Source organism: Homo sapiens, chromosome 2 (genome assembly GCF_000001405.40).
Source record: "Homo sapiens chromosome 2, GRCh38.p14 Primary Assembly".
NCBI classification, from domain to species: domain Eukaryota; kingdom Metazoa; phylum Chordata; class Mammalia; order Primates; family Hominidae; genus Homo; species Homo sapiens.
The window spans coordinates 107,748,638-107,767,702 of NC_000002.12; the positions used below are offsets into that span (position 1 = coordinate 107,748,638).

General features: G+C 39.3%; 1 long non-coding RNA gene across 2 annotated transcripts in view; it reads left to right on the top strand.

Annotated features, from left to right (window-relative positions):
* The first annotated feature begins 5,474 nt into the window (after positions 1 to 5,474).
* The window catches only part of GACAT1 (gastric cancer associated transcript 1), a 68,018-nt gene continuing 54,427 nt past the window's right edge, over positions 5,475 to 19,065 (top strand). For both annotated transcript variants that reach the window (NR_126370.1, NR_126369.1), the window contains exons 1-2: positions 5,475 to 5,633; positions 6,845 to 6,963. This is a non-coding gene — a long non-coding RNA (gastric cancer associated transcript 1). The remainder of the gene's footprint in view (positions 5,634 to 6,844; positions 6,964 to 19,065) is intronic.

A 19,065-nucleotide genomic window follows, 5' to 3' on the forward strand; every position in this document is an offset into this window, starting at 1 on the left:
GTAGAAGAACTCCCTGATCTTCTTCAGATAATCAAATTAAATTGTATGGATTTTCACCGATTTGTGTATTGTGTTGTTTGTAGACGAGGTATCCAACATTTCATTCAAGCCACCCAAATGTCAACAGTGCCTATCCACAAATAGAGTGCCTTGATTTATTTTTGAAGTGCTAGTATTTTATTTTTTATTTTTTAATTTTTGAGATGGAGTCTCACTCTGCCGCCCAGTCTGGAGAACAGTGGCGTGATCTCAGCTCACTGCAACTCCACCTCCTGGGTTCAGGTTATTCTCCTGCCTCAGCCTCCCAAGTAGGATTACAGGCACCCAACACCATGCCCAGCTAATTTTTGTATTTTTAGTAGCGACTGTGTTTCACCATGTTGGCCAGACTGGTCTCCAACTCCTGACCTCAAGCGATTCGCCCACCTTGGCCTCCCAAAGTGCTGGGATTACAGACATGAGCCACTGTACCCCATCCAAAAATGCTATTATTCTAGAAAGTAGTTATCATGTAATTCTGCCCATAATGATTCATGATGGAATTCCTTCCATAAGTTTCCTGGGTACTAAAAATGTTGGTGGGTTAAAATAAATTTCCTAATTGAAAAGCATATAAAAAATTGTACCACATGCTGACTTAATTGGCTATTCTGCCATCATTTCTATCAAGATAAATAATCAGAAAACCTAGCCAAGACACCATATTCATTTTCTTAGGATTCTTTCAGAGGAGGAACATCTCTACCTTTGATAGACTCTTCCACAAAGAGTTACTCAGTCCACCAGTGGCGGCAATTGAAATAAAAGCCTCACCATTATCCCTTATTTCCAGTAGTGGGACTTTATTTACTTTAGCTCATTTTAAGGAACCTGTAGCTAAATCCCATTGCCATCCTGCCCTATCACCGTCAAGCAAATAGCCAAAATGGAAGGATGGTGCAGAATTCTCAGAACTCCCTTAAGCACATTGTCAGAAGAGATGGACCAGTCAGCTTTTATAGGTTCCTCATTACTCAAGATGTCACTAAACCTCTGTCAACAAGATAGTTCTACTGACTTATTAAGGGAGTGATTTCTAAAGACTTGCCTTTAAACCTCTAAACCAACTAAACTCTATAAGAAAATAGAAACATATTCTTATAGTTTGTCTGCATCTACTCACTCACCTTTTAAACATAAGATTCAGCACTTTCTAAAATTGGCTTATCACTCATTTGCCTGCAAAGGTTTAGATTGATAGTGCACTAGAGTGGTCCTGTGGTGGTTGTTTACAGAGTTATTTCTCCCCCAGGGGAACCCAAACAGAAGTAAGTCACAGACTCTCCCAGCCATCAGCATAAAGTAGCTCTCTAAACTTCCTGAGGAATCGTCAAAGCTACAAAATAAGAGAAGCAACGACCTTTTGGTATGGAGACTACATCGTTTAAGATAAGTGTATTTGTCAGGGCCCTAGCAAGATACAGATAACATACTCTGGGGTAATTTGAGGTAGGTTTAGTAAGGCACCTTTTACAATAGTGTGAGCAGGAAGTAGGTATACTTCAAGAGATAGTGCAGTAGCTTGAAACTAGTGTTGGTGGAAATGTAACCACTCTTAGTCTCAAGGGGCTGAGAGAAGGGAGCAGTTATTGGAAAGGTTATGAAGAGAGTTTATAAAGAGAACCATGTTGAGAAGAGCAATCACCTTCATCAAAGGGCTCATCAGCCCAAGGCAACTCTTCAGGGATGGACCTAAGGAAATATTGATCCTAGCCTCACTCATTTTCTTCCCTCTGATCTTCTCCCCTTAGTTAGTCTTCTACTAACTTCCCATAGGTTGGACCACCTAGAAACCAGAAGGCAAGGGATCTCAATGATGCAGTCTGTCCAGTGAGCCTTCCTGAATAAACGGAGGGTTGGAAGGGTAGACGGTGGATGCAGAGAGAATAAAAGAAGTGACTTCACTAGTACAACCCAGGGAGAGCCTTGCAAATGAACCATTTGTAAGGATTGAGCAGGAGGCAAGAAAAATGTGTGGGAATAATACCAGGGCTTAGTCCTTTGGAATTCCTGCCATCGTCTGTCTTTTGGATGGAATTACCCTCAGATAGTAGCATAACAGGTAAGTGTCTTGACAAAAGCCTGTTCTATGTCTCTCTTTATTATTCAGTAAGATCTCATAAAGAAAATCCAGGTAGGCGTTTGGAAGTTAAAATTTATTGCCATCTTCAGCCATTATCAAAACACTGGGATCAGAACCTGAAGAATGATGCTCTGAGTATAGGGGGTGGAGAGGAGAGTAAAAAAATTCAGGCCCAGGACTAGGTCAATAGAAGCTCACAAAGAAGATGGCAATAATCATGAGTCTATGTTTACCTTTCTATGTATTTATAATACATCCACAGCTAGATACCTTAAATATTATTTGTTTCCCTTTAATCTCTCTTTATGATATAAACAGAATAGCTCATTTTCTTTAAGAAAAATATTATTACCACTCACATACATTCATTTACATAGGTTGTGTATGCAGGTGCACGTGTGTGTGTGTGTGTGTGTGCATGCCTTTTTGCTCTTTGGCTCTCAAATTGGTATAACAAACATTGTTGTGGTGGTTCTTTATACTCCAATCTCCTGAAAGACAGGAACTGTTGCAAACCTCTCCTATCTCCATCTCCAGTACAGAGTTGTGCACTTATTGCACTGGCCACCCTTTTCATAGCTACACAATACATTTCTACAGACTGACTTGTTTACCAGAATTCTCAGTACATGTTTCAGATATCCTGTCTGTTCTGGTTCCCAAATCCATCACTTACTTGATCTGTGACTTCTGTTTGAGATGGGTGAGACAAAATGTGGCAACCTGTTTACTTTTTACTCTAAATACAGTTCATAGCAAATGAAAAGATCAAAGTATGTGCTCTGAATACAAAAAAAAAAAAAAACCTACCAGAGGTTTGCTATCCACATTTTTGTCTTGTTGTTTGCACTTTTAAAGGAATAAATGCAGGTATAATAAATAAAACTCTAAAATAAGTGAAAAAATATTCTATGTCAGAGAATTGTCTTTATCCTGGTCTGGGACATAGAAAGACTAGGTTCTAGCACTAGGTTTTCCAATAATTTGCTGTTTTATCTTGGGAAAGTCATTTAACTAGTCTGATGCTGGGTTTCTCTGATGATAACTGAAGAGGGTAAATGGGTGGATTTGCATATGAGATTTAATGCTATTTTCAGCTCCAAAGTTTTGCTTGTAACATAAACTAAATAGCAATAGGAGAAATGCATGCACAAAGAAAAAATAAAAAAGCATTAAGAAATAGCAACAAATTATTGGTAATCAGATGTTGATAATTATAGGATGCCATCCAAAGTCCTAGAAGAATGAGGCCATAATGGCGAAAGCTTAGGAAATAACTGCCTAGAAAAGTGAATGAATAAGGTCCCTCCTGACAGATGTCAAAAATCGAGAAGCAAAGAAAGCATTGAGTGATGGATGAGACTGAAATTAAACCTAAGGTGATGCTGGAAGAGATGACTAATGATGTGAATTTCTTCAGCTTTTGTCAGCTAAATGTCATGGCATTCCTGCTAAATCGGTACTGCAAGCTTGGCATTCAAAGCCCATGAACTACCCTAGAATAGAGCAGATCCACTGCACCATCATATGCTTCATTTGGAAAGGGTTATGATAAGGACATGTAAGTTGCTACAGCCACAACAAATATAGAATCTTTTCTTTGAGGACTTCTGGATAGAGAGTTGATGAGGGAGGGGCTTTGAGGAACCTAATTTTATTCAGAAAAATCTTTGCTTCTATAGAGGGAGAAAGATGTCATTATCCCAAACGAAACCCTTATCTATTCAGAACCCATGTAATATAAGCATGGTTCAAAAAAGAAACAAATCAACAACATAAATAAGCGAAAACTCGTGTGGTTTTCTAAAAATTCATGTAGAGTGTCTAGCTTCAGAGTCTACAAAAAGCCTTAAAAACATTCCTTTGCCCACTCACTCCTACCATACCCTGTACTGTTTCAAAGTATTTTGCTTCACAAGTCAAACTGCAAACCAGAAATTTTCTTCCCTCCCTAACTTATTCCCTTTCTCTCTCCTCTTTCATCACATAGCTAGGAGTAACTTTGCTTAAGCATGAAAGAATATCTTCCTTTTAGGAGTTAGGGAAGAAGGAACATTGTTGTGGGAATTCCAAAGTTCTCTTTGCTGGGCTGCTTGAGGATGGAGACTGAATAGTACCCCTTGATCCATGAGATCATCTGTGCCTAGCGGTACATAGAATTCATCCTAGAGGGCTAAAATGAAAAGAAGCTAATGAAACCTCTAGTTATAGAAGTGTGTGTAGGTTCAGGAAGAAACAAAGGATGTTGAGGAACCGGAGGCCAGCAATTAATGTCCGTTGGGCTGAAGCACTGGGAGGTGAGGACAGTGCCCCTGGAGCCCAGTGGGAACCGAAGCTCAGAGTAAGTTCTGCCCAGCAGCGGCTGTAGTCAAGGAAGGCCCAGCTGCAGGAAGAGACAGACTCAATGCAGAGGACTTGCGGGGAAGGCGCCCCCTGCTTCTCATGCCCACTTTTCTCCTGCCCCCTGATCCCCAGTCACCAATTAGCAGGAGAGCCTGGGTGACAAGGTAGAGCGGGTTCAGTCTCACAGGGCACAGAGCAGGGAGAACAGAGTCAAGAACAGAGAGGCAGAAAGACAAACAGAACAACCAGTACAGCTACCTCCTACTTACATAAACATCACTGCTTAGCCAGCAGTCCTGGTTACTTCCTAATCACTAATTTTATTCTGTCACGTAGAATCCCTTATTCTTTTCCTTACTTCTTAAGACTATATGCAAGCCAGGATCTCAGTCTGAGCTGGAAGAAAAATACTCTAGGAACTCCTGTGAAGGAAAATGCGGAATGCACTTCATACCCACCCCAGGCTGAGAACAGTCTGATAGCCGTGGTGTGTCCAGAATTGGTTCCTTCCAGTGGGTTCTTGGTCTCGCTGACTTCAAGAATGAAGCCGCAGACCCTAGCAGTGAGTGTTACAGTTCTTAAAGATGGTGTGTCCAGAGTTTGTTCCTTCAGATGTGTCCACAGTTTCTTCCTTCCAGTGGGTTCGTAGTCTCCCTTATTTTAGGAGCAAAACCACAGACCATCGTGGTAAGTGTTCCAGCTCATAAAGGTAGTGCAGACCCAAGGAGTGAGCAGCAGCAAGATTTATTGTGAAGAGTGAAAGAAGAAAGCTTCCACAGCATGGAAACGGACCCAACGGGTTGCCGCTGCTGGCTCAGATGGCAAACTTTTATTCCCTTATTTGGCCCCACCCACATCTGGCTGATTGGTCCATTTTACAGAGCACTGATTGGTCCTTTTTACAGAGTGCTGATTGGTACGTTTTTACAGAGTGCTGATTGGTACGTTTTTACAGAGTGCTGATTGGTGCGTTTACAATCCTTTAGCTAAACACAGAGTGCTGATTGGTGCGTTTACAATCCTTTAGCTAGACAGAAAAGTTATCCAAGTCCCCACTCGAACCAGAAAGTCCAGCTGGCTTCACCTCTCAATAGCCTGCCCATCAGCTGTTCTGTTGCCCTGTAGCCTGCTCCAGATTATCAGTGAAATCACCGCAGCCAGAGACCCTGTGAGTTCCCACATATTTGATACATTTATTACAAGATTTTCTCTCTTAGAACTTGACATTTTGCAGTGGGTGTTTTGCATGGTTCTGAATCAACTCCTTTATCCTCTAAGGTCTAGAGGTGGACTGAGCTTAGAGCTTATAGAGTTTCCATCAAGGATCAGAGAGATTTAAACTTAGGGCTCAGTGCTCACAGGAACCCAGCCATGAGCTAACATCAATGTTGTTTCATCTTATAATATCTATTCTGAGATTTGGGATGCCAGTTTGGGTACCCTAACCATCATCATAGTAATATGTTCACAGATTAAAAAAACACAAATTCCTTGTTTAAAACAAATTACATATATATGTCATTTTTGGATTACCTTTAGCTAGATATAAAGTTGGCTGTTGCACATTCCAAAAATTTATAGAGTGAAAAATTTAACCTGGAACAGTTAGGGAATAAATAAGGAAAAACATTTAGGTGTACTGAATCTGTTTCATTTTACAAATTCCACTTTTATAAACACACTGAAAGTGAGCTCAGATTCACTAAATATTGATTGCCAGCATAGCAAGAATTTTACTTAAAAATTTCTCTTCTTGTGTTGATGAATCTGTATCAAGCGTTCTGATATTTGGCAACTAAAAGGAGCAGAGTGCTCTGTAGCCCTTTGAGGCTGTTGCTCACATCCAGGCAGTAGTGATTGGGCATTGGTTCTTCCCAAAAGTGGAGATGGTCTCACTAGCTTTAGCTATTAGGAAGGGTACTGTGTTACCTCTCCTAGGAATGTACACTGCTCCATTTTCCCTGTCTGGAATTCTTTAAAAGTTTTTCTGGTTTTTTCCTTTGTTTTGTTTTTAAACCTTGATAATCTCACCCTTCATTAAAATCTCACCTTCCTCTTGTCTTTTCCTCTTGTCTCCAACATCTACTTCTTGTCTCCTTTGCTGGGCTCTCTTTTGTATTCTGCTGATCCCTAATGTGGACAGCATGTAAAGCTTTTTCTTTTTTTCTTCTCTCCTCTCTATTCCTGCAGGCCACTTGCCACAGCTCTCTCCAACTCCACACCTTCCACTGTTTCTTTAACCTCAGCTTCTCTTCTCGGCTCCAGCTCCACATTTCCAGCATTCTGGGGATGTTTTATAGTGTTCATTTCCTAGGACTCCTGAAAAAATTACCAGTAATTTGGTAGCTTAAAAAAAATTACAAATGTATTCTGTTGCAGTTCTAGAGTCCAGAAACCTGGTCTGCTTCTCTGGGCTAAGCCTCCTTCTGAAGACACCGGAGGAAAATCCCTAGCTTTGGCTTTTCCAGCGTCAAGAGCAGCCTTGCATTCCTGTTCCGGTGAGTAGTGGCCGCCTGTATTTTGGTCTCATGGCCCCTTCTTCCATCTTCTTGGCCAGAAGTAAAGGATCTTTAAATGGCTCTCTGTCTGCTGAGGGGGTCTCCCCCACTCCTCTCTTCTGTTTGTGTGCCATCTGCGTCTGCCTCTGTCTTATAAGGATACATAAGGGTCCATGCCGATCATCCAGGATAAGCTTCTGGATCAAAATTTTTAACTTAATCACATTCGCAAACATTTTCTTTTCTTTTTTTCTTTTCTTTTTCTTTTTTTTTTCCACATAAGCTAACACCCACGTTCACATTAAGATGTGAATATCTTTTGGGAGGGGGGCATTTTTTAACCTAATAGCCTTCCCTCTGGGTAGTTTTGAGCATCCTAATTTCAATACATAGTGGACCTTCTGTTTCCATGGGTTCTGTGTTCGTGAATTCAACCAACTATGGATCGAAATTTTTTTTTTTTAAATGGATGGTTGTGTTTGTACTGAGCCTTTTCAGACTTTTTTTTCCTGTTATCATTTCCTAAACAATGTAGCACAACAACTATTTACTTAGCATGAATGCTGTACTAGGTTTTATAAGTAATCTAAAGATAAAGTATACGAAAGGACATGTGTACATCATATACAAATACTATACCATTTCATATCAGGCACTTGAGCATCCTTGGATTTTGGTATTAGCAGGGGGCTCCTGAAACCAATGCCCTAGGGATACCGAGGGATGACTATACATGACTGATTTGAAGACTTTTGTATTTCTAGTATTGGTGTTTCAATCTCCTGGCTTGAAACCTCAGTCACCTCTCTCTCAGTGCTTGCATTTACACACAGTCACATTTTCCTCGCACAGTCCTTCTCACCTGCCCTTGTTTCCTCTCTTCCTATTGTTACCAACTTAGTCCAGGTCCCTATTTATTTATTCTTAGTCCACTGAAGTAAACTCTTAATAATCTTGCTGCCAGCAGTCTTCTTCATTATAAATGCCACTACTAGGTACAATTTTCCTAAATCAATCTTTGATTGTGGCATAAAACAAGCCTCCCAAAGCCACCTACCTGCCTGGAGTCACAGTCTCACTTAGCCACATGAGGCTCAAATCTCCTAGCCTGATATTCAAACATCCCACTCTATCTTTTAATTTGCTTATAAGCCTGCTCTTCTAGGTAAACCCATTACTCAAAGAGAAACTTCCATTTTCCAATTTTTGCCCCCTTTTTTATTATTTATGTTTTTTATGGAAAGGAGCCAAGGTTTTCTTTAAAAGAATAAAATATGTTCTATGCCATAAATTCGATACATGTCAAACAGTTATGAAAAGCATTTTATTCAAGATCGGTGGCTGGGCCTGGTGGCTCGTTTCTGTAATCCCACCACTTTTTGGAAGGCAAAGGCAGGCAGATCCTTCAAGCCCAGGAGTTTGAGACCAGGCTTGGCAATATGGCAAAACCCTGTCTCTACCAAAAAAAAAGTTGGGTGGAGTGCACACCTGTGATCCCAGCTACTCAGGAGGCTAAGGTGGGAGAATCACCCGAGCCTGGGAAGGTTGAGGCTACAGTGAGCCATGATCAGGTCACTGCACTCCATTCTGGGTGACAGTGAGAGCCTGTCTCAAAAAAAAAAAAAAAAAAAAAAAAAACAATAACAACAAAAGAGTGTTAAGACTTCCTGAAAATTAGAATAGTTGAAACCTCTCCTCCAACTCTTCCTCACGTTCAATTTCCCATATCGTTCTTCCTCCTCTTCACTTCTGCTGTTCTTAAACAACCCATTTCACATGGCCCCTCCTTTTTGAAGTCCCCTCTGGTTATGACGTCACGCAGTGATCTTTTCTTCCTCTGAACAACCTAGTTCTTATTGACACGGTTCTTGTAGTGCTTTGCACTGTAGTTATTTGTGTCAATTCTTTTTAACCTTATGAGATTTTAGGTTCCATGAACAATGTTACTACACCATATTTTCTAACTTCCATTTTCCCTTTGTGGAATGCTGGCTTACATATAGTAAATACCTATCAAAACACCTGGTAAGTAAACCAGTGAATTAGGAAATGGCTGGTTTCCCTTTGGTTCTTTCCGGTTAAGTCCTAGCACCATGTTTACTACCTTTGTCCCCTTAGTTCCAAATCATGAATAAAGCTAAAAAAAAAAATCCTATACTTAGGTATCCTTTGGCTATGGCCGTGAACTCTTTAAGAAAGCTCAGAAACAATGAGGACACTGTCAGCTACCTCATTTCAATTATCAAGGCCTGGGGGAAAGTTCTTTTTATTGATAGTTTCTGCACTGTCCTAATGTTGCATCATTCTCCAGAAACAGTTCTTTGCTAAAATTGGACATGCAAAGATTACTTTTCTATTTGATGAACTTCAACACCCCCATCAACAGTTACTAGAGTCACTTATGTGTGATGGTACAGATATTGCATAGCTGTTTTTTGTAACTGAAAGCATATGATCAGAAAAAGAGGCCATTACCAAGAATTATTCTCTAGGCTGCATGTTAAATCTAAAATCAAATTACAGTTTAATCGACTATTTCATAGTAATTGCAGCATTTTTAAAAAGGAGTGACACAATTATTTAGGCAAGTGATGTAGAGGATTAAGTCCAGTATGTAATTTAGAGAAGAAAGAAAAGGAGAGAAATGTGTCTCTCTTTCCTTATAACTCAGAAGTGATAAAAACAACAGTAATATTTGAATATAGTCCCTTATCGTCCCTCATGATAGGACAAACAATTAGTAATATTCTGTGAAATTTGGAACCACATTTATATCTTATTTTGCCTAAATGACAGGTGGGGTACACTGGTGCAGAGTAAGGGACAATGGGATTTTCCAATGGAATAGCCCACACCTAACCATTGGCCAATACAGGAGCCAACAGCCACATGTAGCTATTGAGCATATGAAATGAGGCTCCTCCAAATTAAGATCTGCTGTAAATAAAAATAAGCACTGTATTTTGTGGAGATCTTATAAAAAATGATGTAAATTATCTCTTCAATACCATCTTATATTATTAGCTTTGAATTGATAATATTTTGGAGACATTGGGTTAAGTAAGCTATATTGTTATAACTAATTTCAGCAGTTTCTTTTCACTTTTTAAATGTAGCTCTCATTATATTTCTGTTGTACAGTGTTGGCCTAGACCATGACTCTATTTATTTAAACAATTGCCCAATATACATTTATTGAATTATAAATCCATAAAGTGCCTCAAAAACCTATTGGAATGACCCAACATGAACATCATGAAATGAGAATTAGATACCAATGTTCAAGTAAGGTGAAACAGGTAGTTTTCCTGAACTTAACTGCATTCATTAAGAGCACTTCTCAGGTTACTTAGCATATCTTTTCAATTTGCTCCATAGAATCATACTAGTCATACATTTTCATCTTCAATGTTCAGATGAGAACACATCTGGGGCACAGTAAGGAGGACCGATTGAGGGTCACACAGTCAGTATTGGCAAAACTGGGCCCGAAACACAAATCTTTGTCTCCAGATCTTTTATCTTGAGTTCATTGGCATTAGGACTAAAGTTTAATCATGTGTTGCATTAGTCAAGGGCCTACAGAAAAATAGAACCCAAGGGATCAGAGAAGGTGCATGGGGTCCTTTAAGGACACTGAGGATCTCCTTCCAAGTGTAGCTGTTACAGCCCTGGGAAAGGGTGTACCCTGCCGCCTCTCCTAGGGTGGGTGAGCAGGTCTCACACAATAAATCCTCTCTCTAACATTCCAGTCTCCCTAAGCCTTTGGGTACCTTCCTCTATGGTATACCAAGGCCTCTCTGGCATTCAGCTTTATTTAATGCAGGCCACCTTTTCGTTTGTGTTTCAGCCAACTAATCAAACAGTTGGAACCTTTTCTAACCCCATGAGCTACAAGGTTGAATCTAAAATTTCTGCTTGGTAGGCCCATGTCAATACATTAGGCCTGATCTAATTTATGTTTCTTCCATTATACCACACCCTTATATCCATGCTTACATATATTCTATGGATTTTTGTTTGTATAAACTGAACAATCATGTAGTTCTTTTGGAGTGTTGCATATCTATTCATAGTTCATACTTTGTACTTGAGTCTAGTTATGGGTCTAGAAGTAAAGAAGGGAAGCAGAAGTAGGGTTGTGAAAAGAATCGGTAGTATTTTGAAAGGCAAATACCTCAGGGGAAACCATTACAGTTTTCTTGGGTAAAGCAGGGTGAACATCTCCAGACAGGGTGGAAGGGCTGCTTCTACCAGGAAAAAACTTTCACTCGAATTTTAGGGGTTCAGTGTCCTCACCTTAATCAGAATCTTCTCATATGTCTCTATTCCAAATTTCAGGGTCTTGTTTCTTCCCAATTAATGCCTTCACTTTAAAGCAGACACCCGACATGGTTGGGAAATTCATTTAGTGTTGTAAGTCAACCACTTGGAGGAAAAGACTCTGGTTTGGTTTTCAGCAGCAATTTCAGCTCTGCTGCTACAGAACATAAAAGTTTTTTTAAGGGCAAACATGGAGACTTTCAAATCTTTTATGCAGCTCTTGATCTGAGAATTTATGTCCCCGAACTTATCCTTTTGTTTCTCCACTTTGTCCATTGACATTAGGGCAACCAGCCAATCTCACTCATCACGCTTATTTGTTTGACAAAAATGTTCTGAGATATCAAATACATGATCACCAATCACCAAGACCTGGGTTTTTTGTTTTTTTGGTTTTTGGTTTTTTTGTGTGTTTTTTTTGAGACAGAGTCTCACTCTGTCATCCAGGCTGGAGTGCAGTGGTGTGATCTTGGCTCACTGCAAGCTCCATCTCCTGAGTTCATGCCATTCTTCTGCCTCAGCCTCCCAAGTAGCTGGGACTACAGATGCCTGCAACCACGCCTGGCTAATTTTTTGTATTTTTAGTAGAGACACGGTTTCACTGTGTTAGCCAGGATGGTCTCGATCTCCTGACCTCGTGATCTGCCTGCCTCGGCCTCCCAAAGTGCTGGGATTACAGGTGTGAGCCACCGCACCAGGCCAGACCTGGGTTCTTATAAGTGTTTAATTAGGAGCATCCAATGGTGATATTTTGTGTATATTTGCTGCCACGTCATGCTAGGATTATCAATGCTTTTTTTTACTACTAATTCCTAAAACCCTGAAAGTAATTTAGAGAAATCGCCTTTAAGTTTCCATTCTCCCAGAATAACTTTCAGTACCAAAATCTGATTAATCAGCATTCTCCAGAAAACTAGACCCAATACAATGAATATACGTATATACACACAAACATGTATTCCTATATCTGCATATATATAATATAACATATATGAGCATTTGCATATTGGTTCATGTGTGGCTTATGTGATTTGAGGGCCTTGTAAATGCTAAATCTATAGGGCAAACTGGCAGGCTGGAAATTTAGATGAGAGTTTATGTTGCAATGTTGATTCTGAAATTCACATGGAAAGCCAGACCGAGGAGACTCAGACAGGGTTACAATCATTAGGCAGAGTGGTTTCTTCTTTGAGAAACCTTAGTCATTGCTCTTAAGGCCTTCAAGTGATTGGATGAAATTCATCCATATTATGGAGAGTAATCTGCTTTACTGAAAGTCTGCTGATTTAAAAAGAATCACATTCAACACATTCCTTCATAGAACATCCAGACTGGTATATGACCAAACAACTCGGCACCACAGTCCAGCCAAGTTGATACATAAAATTAACTATATCACATGCCTTTAATGATAGAGGTTAAAAAGCTTATAACTGAGTATTTGTGTATTGGCTTCAGCAAATTACTTCATAGAACATCCAGACTGGTCTGTGACCAAACAACTCGGCACCCAGCCAAGTTAACACATAAAATTAGCTATCACATGCCTTTAATGATACAGGTTAAAAGGCTTATAACTGAGTATTTGTGTATTGACTTCAGTCATTAGAAACAGAGGATACCGTAAGTAGTAGTTGCAATATGATTGTCAATTTTTACCGAAAAACCCACCTCCCTGGATTATGGTGATGAGAATTTAGGAGTCTCAGAATAGTCAGAAAACAACAGCTAATATTGAGTGCTTACTAGGTATCAGGGGTTATATTAAATATCGTGTATTCGTTAATTGATTTTAATTCCCACAAAAGCCCTATAATAGTTGCTGCTATTTTATTTTTAAAAAGATGCACAAAATGGCTGAAGAAATTATCCAAAGTTTTGAAGCTAGGAACTGGTAGAGCAGGAATCAAACCCAAGCAGTTTGATTCCTGAGTTGATGATCTCAGGGAAACAAAGAAGAAAGCGTGTCAGCCCCCAAAATACTTGTGAGTCTAGTGGAAAAGGAAATTATCAGTATTTGCAGATTAACCTTGATAAAACATAAGATTCAGGTGCTCTCAATTATAAAGCCAAATCATAATTTCAGCTTTGCAAAGCACTTAAGGAAAAATGAACATACTATTTATGAGCTACAGGCTGAAATATAGACATGTCTTCTTAAAATTAGAGATGTAATACTTACATACTATATATAGCATATATGCATATACTATGTGTAGATGTTTAACAGTAAATGGTTAAGATGATTGTTAAGGGTGTGAACTATATCTCCAGAATGGAAAAACATAAACTTTAAAGAGTAAAAACAAAAAGAAAACAAAACAAAAGCCCCAATGCAAAAAAGCTAGGAGGTCTAATATTCCCTTTGATAAAAAGAAGTGCTTTTAGAAAATACAGGTCAACAGTGCTCATTCTTGGATTTTGTTTGAGCAACTAGAGAGGAAAGATGAAAAGATAGAGAAAAAAAAACCTCTAGTTTTGAAGAAAATCCGTTTATATAAGTTGTATTGAGTTGTTTTCTGCGATACAGCCTAACCTAGCTGTTACACCAGCAGACTTCCAGAAACCATCGCTCAACTGTGTTGTTATTTGGCTTGCGGAAAATAGGTTGGAGTCTAAAGCAGGGCCTTTAATGTCATTCTATTGGATTTTGGAATTCTGCTCTCCAGTTATTGTTCTTTGTTGCCAGTCCAGAGGTATAAAGTGACTGGGCGTCTGTAGCTCTACCTAGTGGCAACTTCATTCTGCTGAGAAGTGACATTCTTTCAGCATCCAGTTGGAGGGAGACATGTTTAGAAGCTGCTGAGAGAGAATATTCAGAAGTGCTAAAAAGAGGCCTCGCTAGTGTCACAGAGGCTTTTTTTCTGGGAGTCTGACTAGGGATCACATGTGTTTTAGAGCCTAGGTTGTTAAGCAGCTCGTTATATATGATATTTTGAAATCCCTTCACTAATTATCAAGAGATAATTTTAAGCATCTACTACAAGCAGAGCGTGCTACTCTACTGAGAGCTGTAGGAATTCAAACGTCTTTTTCTCTTTTATTTCTCTGCCTGGCAAGACTTTTCATCCATCTGAATACTACTCAAATGTCACCTCCTTTGTAAAGTCAATCAACCCAGGAAAGCAATGTTCTGCCCCCAGTCCTATCCACCTACAGTCCTTTGCACATACATTAAATATAGGACCATCATTTTGTGGCATGGTTATCAGACAATGTCAAGCTCCCCATTTAGGACTATGTATCACTTAGAGAAAAAACATATATTCTTCATGTAGGCATTCCCAGAGCCCAGAGATACTGGATTTTGCCTTCTCAATATTTAGATACAGTAGAGTTCTCTGTTTTGTCTTTTATTTCATTTTAATTGGGGAATAAATAAAGTAAAAAGAGGCAGGTGTAGTGGCTTACACCTGTAATCCCAGCATTTTGGGAGGCTGAGGCAGGATTGCTTGAGGCCAGAAGTTGGAGCTAGTCTGGGAAAGACAGTGAGACATCCATATCTACCAAAAAAAAAAAAAAAAAAAGAAAAGAAAGAAAAGAAAAAGCCAGTCATGATAGCATGTGCCTGTAGTCGCCTGTAGTCTCAGCTGTTTGGGAGACTGAAGCAGGAAGATCATAGGAGCCAAGAATTTTGAGGCTGCCATGAGCCATGATCATACCCCTGTACTCCAGCCTGGGTGACAGACTAAGACCCCATCTTTAAAATAATAATAAAGTAAAAAGAGAGAAGGATCAGAATATGTGAAGAAAAATTTGGAAAACTGCAGCATCTAGAAAATATGTGATTTTTAAAAGTATATTAATGCCTAACAGAGAAATAGAGGAAGAAGCTGTCCATTTTTGAGAAACTACAATCAGTAACAACAATAATGGGAAATTAATAGCTGCAATTTGTTGAATAGCTGCCAGTTCAGTATGTGACTTCTGTAACAGCAATTCCTTACAAGAACCCCATGAGGTAGGTGTCATTATCCCAATTTAACAGATAATAAACAAGGGCACATTAGTTCACACAACTGAATATCTGAATCATTTTGGAAGATTTTAAAAATAAATTATGGTTGGGCCTTATACCAGAGCAACTGTGATCAAGCCTGCTCTGCTAGCTGTGCAAAAAGTTCCCTCCTTCTCTATTTCCAGAGTCGTTACAGTGGAGATATGGAAGAACAGCCAGGGAAAATATTTCCCAGCCTCCTTTGCAACTTGGTGAGCCAAGCGAGTTAGTGGAACCTGAGCAGAAGTGATGTGTGTCAGCTCTCAAACTGCACATGCCCGATGACTCCACGAAGCAATCTACCTCTTACCTTATTAGAACCTAGACATGGCAATCGAGCCTTGATCATGCTGGTGATTTAAAGGCCTTAGATCCATGTTGTCCAAAACAGTAACTACTGGCCACATGTGGCTGTGTAAATTTAAGTGAATTAAATTTAAATCAAAGGACAAATTTGGTTCCTCAATCACACTAGCCATTCTTCAATCACTCAAGTGTCATCTGTGATGAGTGGCTATTGTATTGGACAGCATGGATATAGACTTTCCATAACTGCAGAAAGTTCTCTTGGGCAGCACTGCCCCAGAGGGTGAAGTAGCCCCCAGGATGATACAGGAAAGAGCCTGCATCTGCTTGAATCTCCGTGTGTAGAGATCCACCTTCTGATCTAGACCCTTGGACTGTTACATGACTAAGAAAGATTTTCTTTTAATAAATCATAAAATTTAGGGGCCCTATTTGTTGTAACACTTAAGACCACCTTAACTTTCAAACCAACAGAATCTAATTTTCTGAAGATGGTATCTATACCTCAGTATGTAAAAAAAATATAACCCAGGGACAGGAGTGAAAGGAATGGCATCAGCAAATTGTCAGACAGGCAGCTCCAAGCTCCTGTCCACCCACGGAAACATCAAACATCAAATAGCAAACAGAACTGGTCAGGAAAAGCTTTCAAAGAACTCTAGAAAACATACAAAGGCTTACAGCAACCAAGGGGATGCTGAGCCAACAAAAAGACCGCTTAAAAATGGTAGGAAAGCTCTATGACATTTTTACTTGTCCTTGTTCCACTCCCTTTCTTGACTTGGCAGCATTCAGGAAAACAGAAGCCCAGGTTCCCAGTGAGGGCCATTGGTGCCTGATTCTGGAAAGAGTAGAGCAGAGCAGAGTTTATTAGCAAATTATTGTGTATGCCTGTTCTAACTTGCCCAGGAGCTACCTGAAGGACAGATGCAAGGTGCTCCTCTGTGTGTCACATAATCTGGAATTTACTGAGGCCTGAAAAGCTGTAGGCATTGCTCAAAAAACACTAGCAACCCACAGATGCATGGAGCAAAAGATTAGGTGGAGACATGCAATAGGCCATGTAAGGCCCTGAAGGAACAGTGAGGTAGAGTTTCTTTGAAAAATCTGTGCATTCAAAAGCAGGTTGTATAAGAGAAACTTTAGAAAGCCATGCACATGCTCAGAGATGCCCTGAGAAGAACCTCAGCTTTCAGATCACACTCATCCCTCAGCTCAATGCACAACTCCTAAGTGTTGAAAGAATTCTCTAGCACAGGGATGATCTGCAAAGATTGAGAGTGATGTTTGTTTGTTTGTTTCTTGTGTGTGTGTTCTGTTTTGTGCTCTCTCAGTCTCTCTCTCTCTCTCTCTCTTTATTTCTCTCTCTGGCTCTCTCCTGTTGAAGGAAATCTGCTAAAACTAGCTGAACAGCAGTTAGGGAACAGAGATTACAGTGACCACACATGATAAAGAACACAATCTTTCAAAAATAATTTTTAAAAGTTACTAAACGTGTGAACTACTACTGTTGTCGACAATCAGAAAAAAATAGCAAAACCAAAGGAAGGGAGAGTATATGATTTACAAGGTTACTACATTATAATATTCAAAAGTCCAGCTTTCAACAAAATATCAGGAAACATACAAAGAAACAAAGCCATAGTTCCTTCAAAGGAACACAATAAATTGTTATTTATGATTCCAATAAATTACAGAAACCATCCCTGAGGAAGCCCAGACATGAGACTTACTAAATATCATTAAAGAGCTAATTGAAAACATGGACAAATAAGAAAAGATCAGGAAATTATATATGAAAAATGACATTGTTAGTAAAAATATAGAAATTTTCATGTAATATATACAGAGATTTTGTTGGAGATGATGAAAAAGTTTTGGGAATAGTGGTAATGGATGTACAACATTATAAATGTCATTAATGCTCCTGAATTTTCCACTTAAAATGGCTAAAATGACAAATTATACATGAATTTTACCATCATATATCATTAAATACCAAAATGCATTCGAAGGTTCACAAAGGTTCCTTTGGAAATTTATTTTACACACATGCGAAGTTGTTCCCTGTTACTAAGCAGTGATAGGATTTAAATGATTATATCAAGGAGTGCCTAATAGAGTTCTTAGCATATACGTAGTCTGTTCTCAATAAATAATTCTTAAATTGTGTATAAATGCAAAAATTTTGACTAAACCACAGACATACACATCTGGAGTCTCTAAGGAATGGCCAACATTGGCCAAATTAGATCACACTGACATTAGTTTCCACTCTGTCACACACTTGCACAGATACACACACACATGCACACATTTTATTTCTTGCCTAATTCTTCCAATTCCATTTCAAGTATGACAGCAGTACAAGTATAGGAACAATTAGAAGAGGATAATTGGACATGGAATCAAGTTGTAAAACAACAACGTTGTCAAAAAAGGAGTGTTTTAGAAGTTCCAAACAGAAGATGATTAATGGTCAAAGACCAAAGTTCACATGCAGGTAAAAATGAGAGAAAATGATATTTTGAATGTGGCCGGAAAACAAAAGAGAATGGGGAATGTCTGTAATAGCAACAACTGCACATGTAGAAAGAAAAACTTAGAAGATTTAGAAAGCTGTAAAGCTTAGAGTTAAGGGTGAAGTGTATACCACTATATTTTAGTATATAACCTATAAAATTGTAGGCGCTTTTAATATGCAAAAATAACAAATAGCACCAGGAGGTAGAAAAGTAAATAGAATAGGGAAGACAAAATATTGTCATGCACTTGTAACATTCTAGCAAAGTACTGAGCTCAAAAATAAAATTTAATAAATATTTGACCACTGAATGATATATTAGTTCATGAATTCTTAACAAGTGATAAAACTATTCATTTAGGGCTAAAGCAGTGGAAAATAAAAATATCTCCAAGAGAAGCCATGATTTATGTCATCACTGGCTTCAGTAATACATGGCATGGAAATGGCAATGGAACACTGGAGGCCAGGAAAGAGGGGAACAGAGAACCACCACAGGATACCCAGGAGCATGAAATTGGGATGAGATGGAAGTGACAGTGGCTTCCTGGAGAAAAAGGATAGAAGTTGATGATTAGAAAACATATTGAATAAGGATAAAGCTGGACTTTTTTGAAACAAAAGAAGCATAGTTAAAATTATAGTATGCATGAGGCCAGGCACGGTGGCTCACGCCTGTAATGCTAGCACTTTGGGAGGCCGAGGTGGGCGGACCACCTGAGGTCAGGGGTTCAAGAACAGCCTGGCCAACATGGTGAAACCCTGCCTCTACTAAAAATACAAAAATTAGCTGGGCATTGTGGCGCACGCCTGTAATTCCAGCTACTTGGTAGGCTGAGGTGGGAGAGTAGCTTGAACCCAGGAGACAGAGGTTGCACTGAGCCAAGATCGCACCATTGCACTACAGACTGGGTGACAGAGTGAGACTCTGTCTCATTAAAAAAAAAAAATT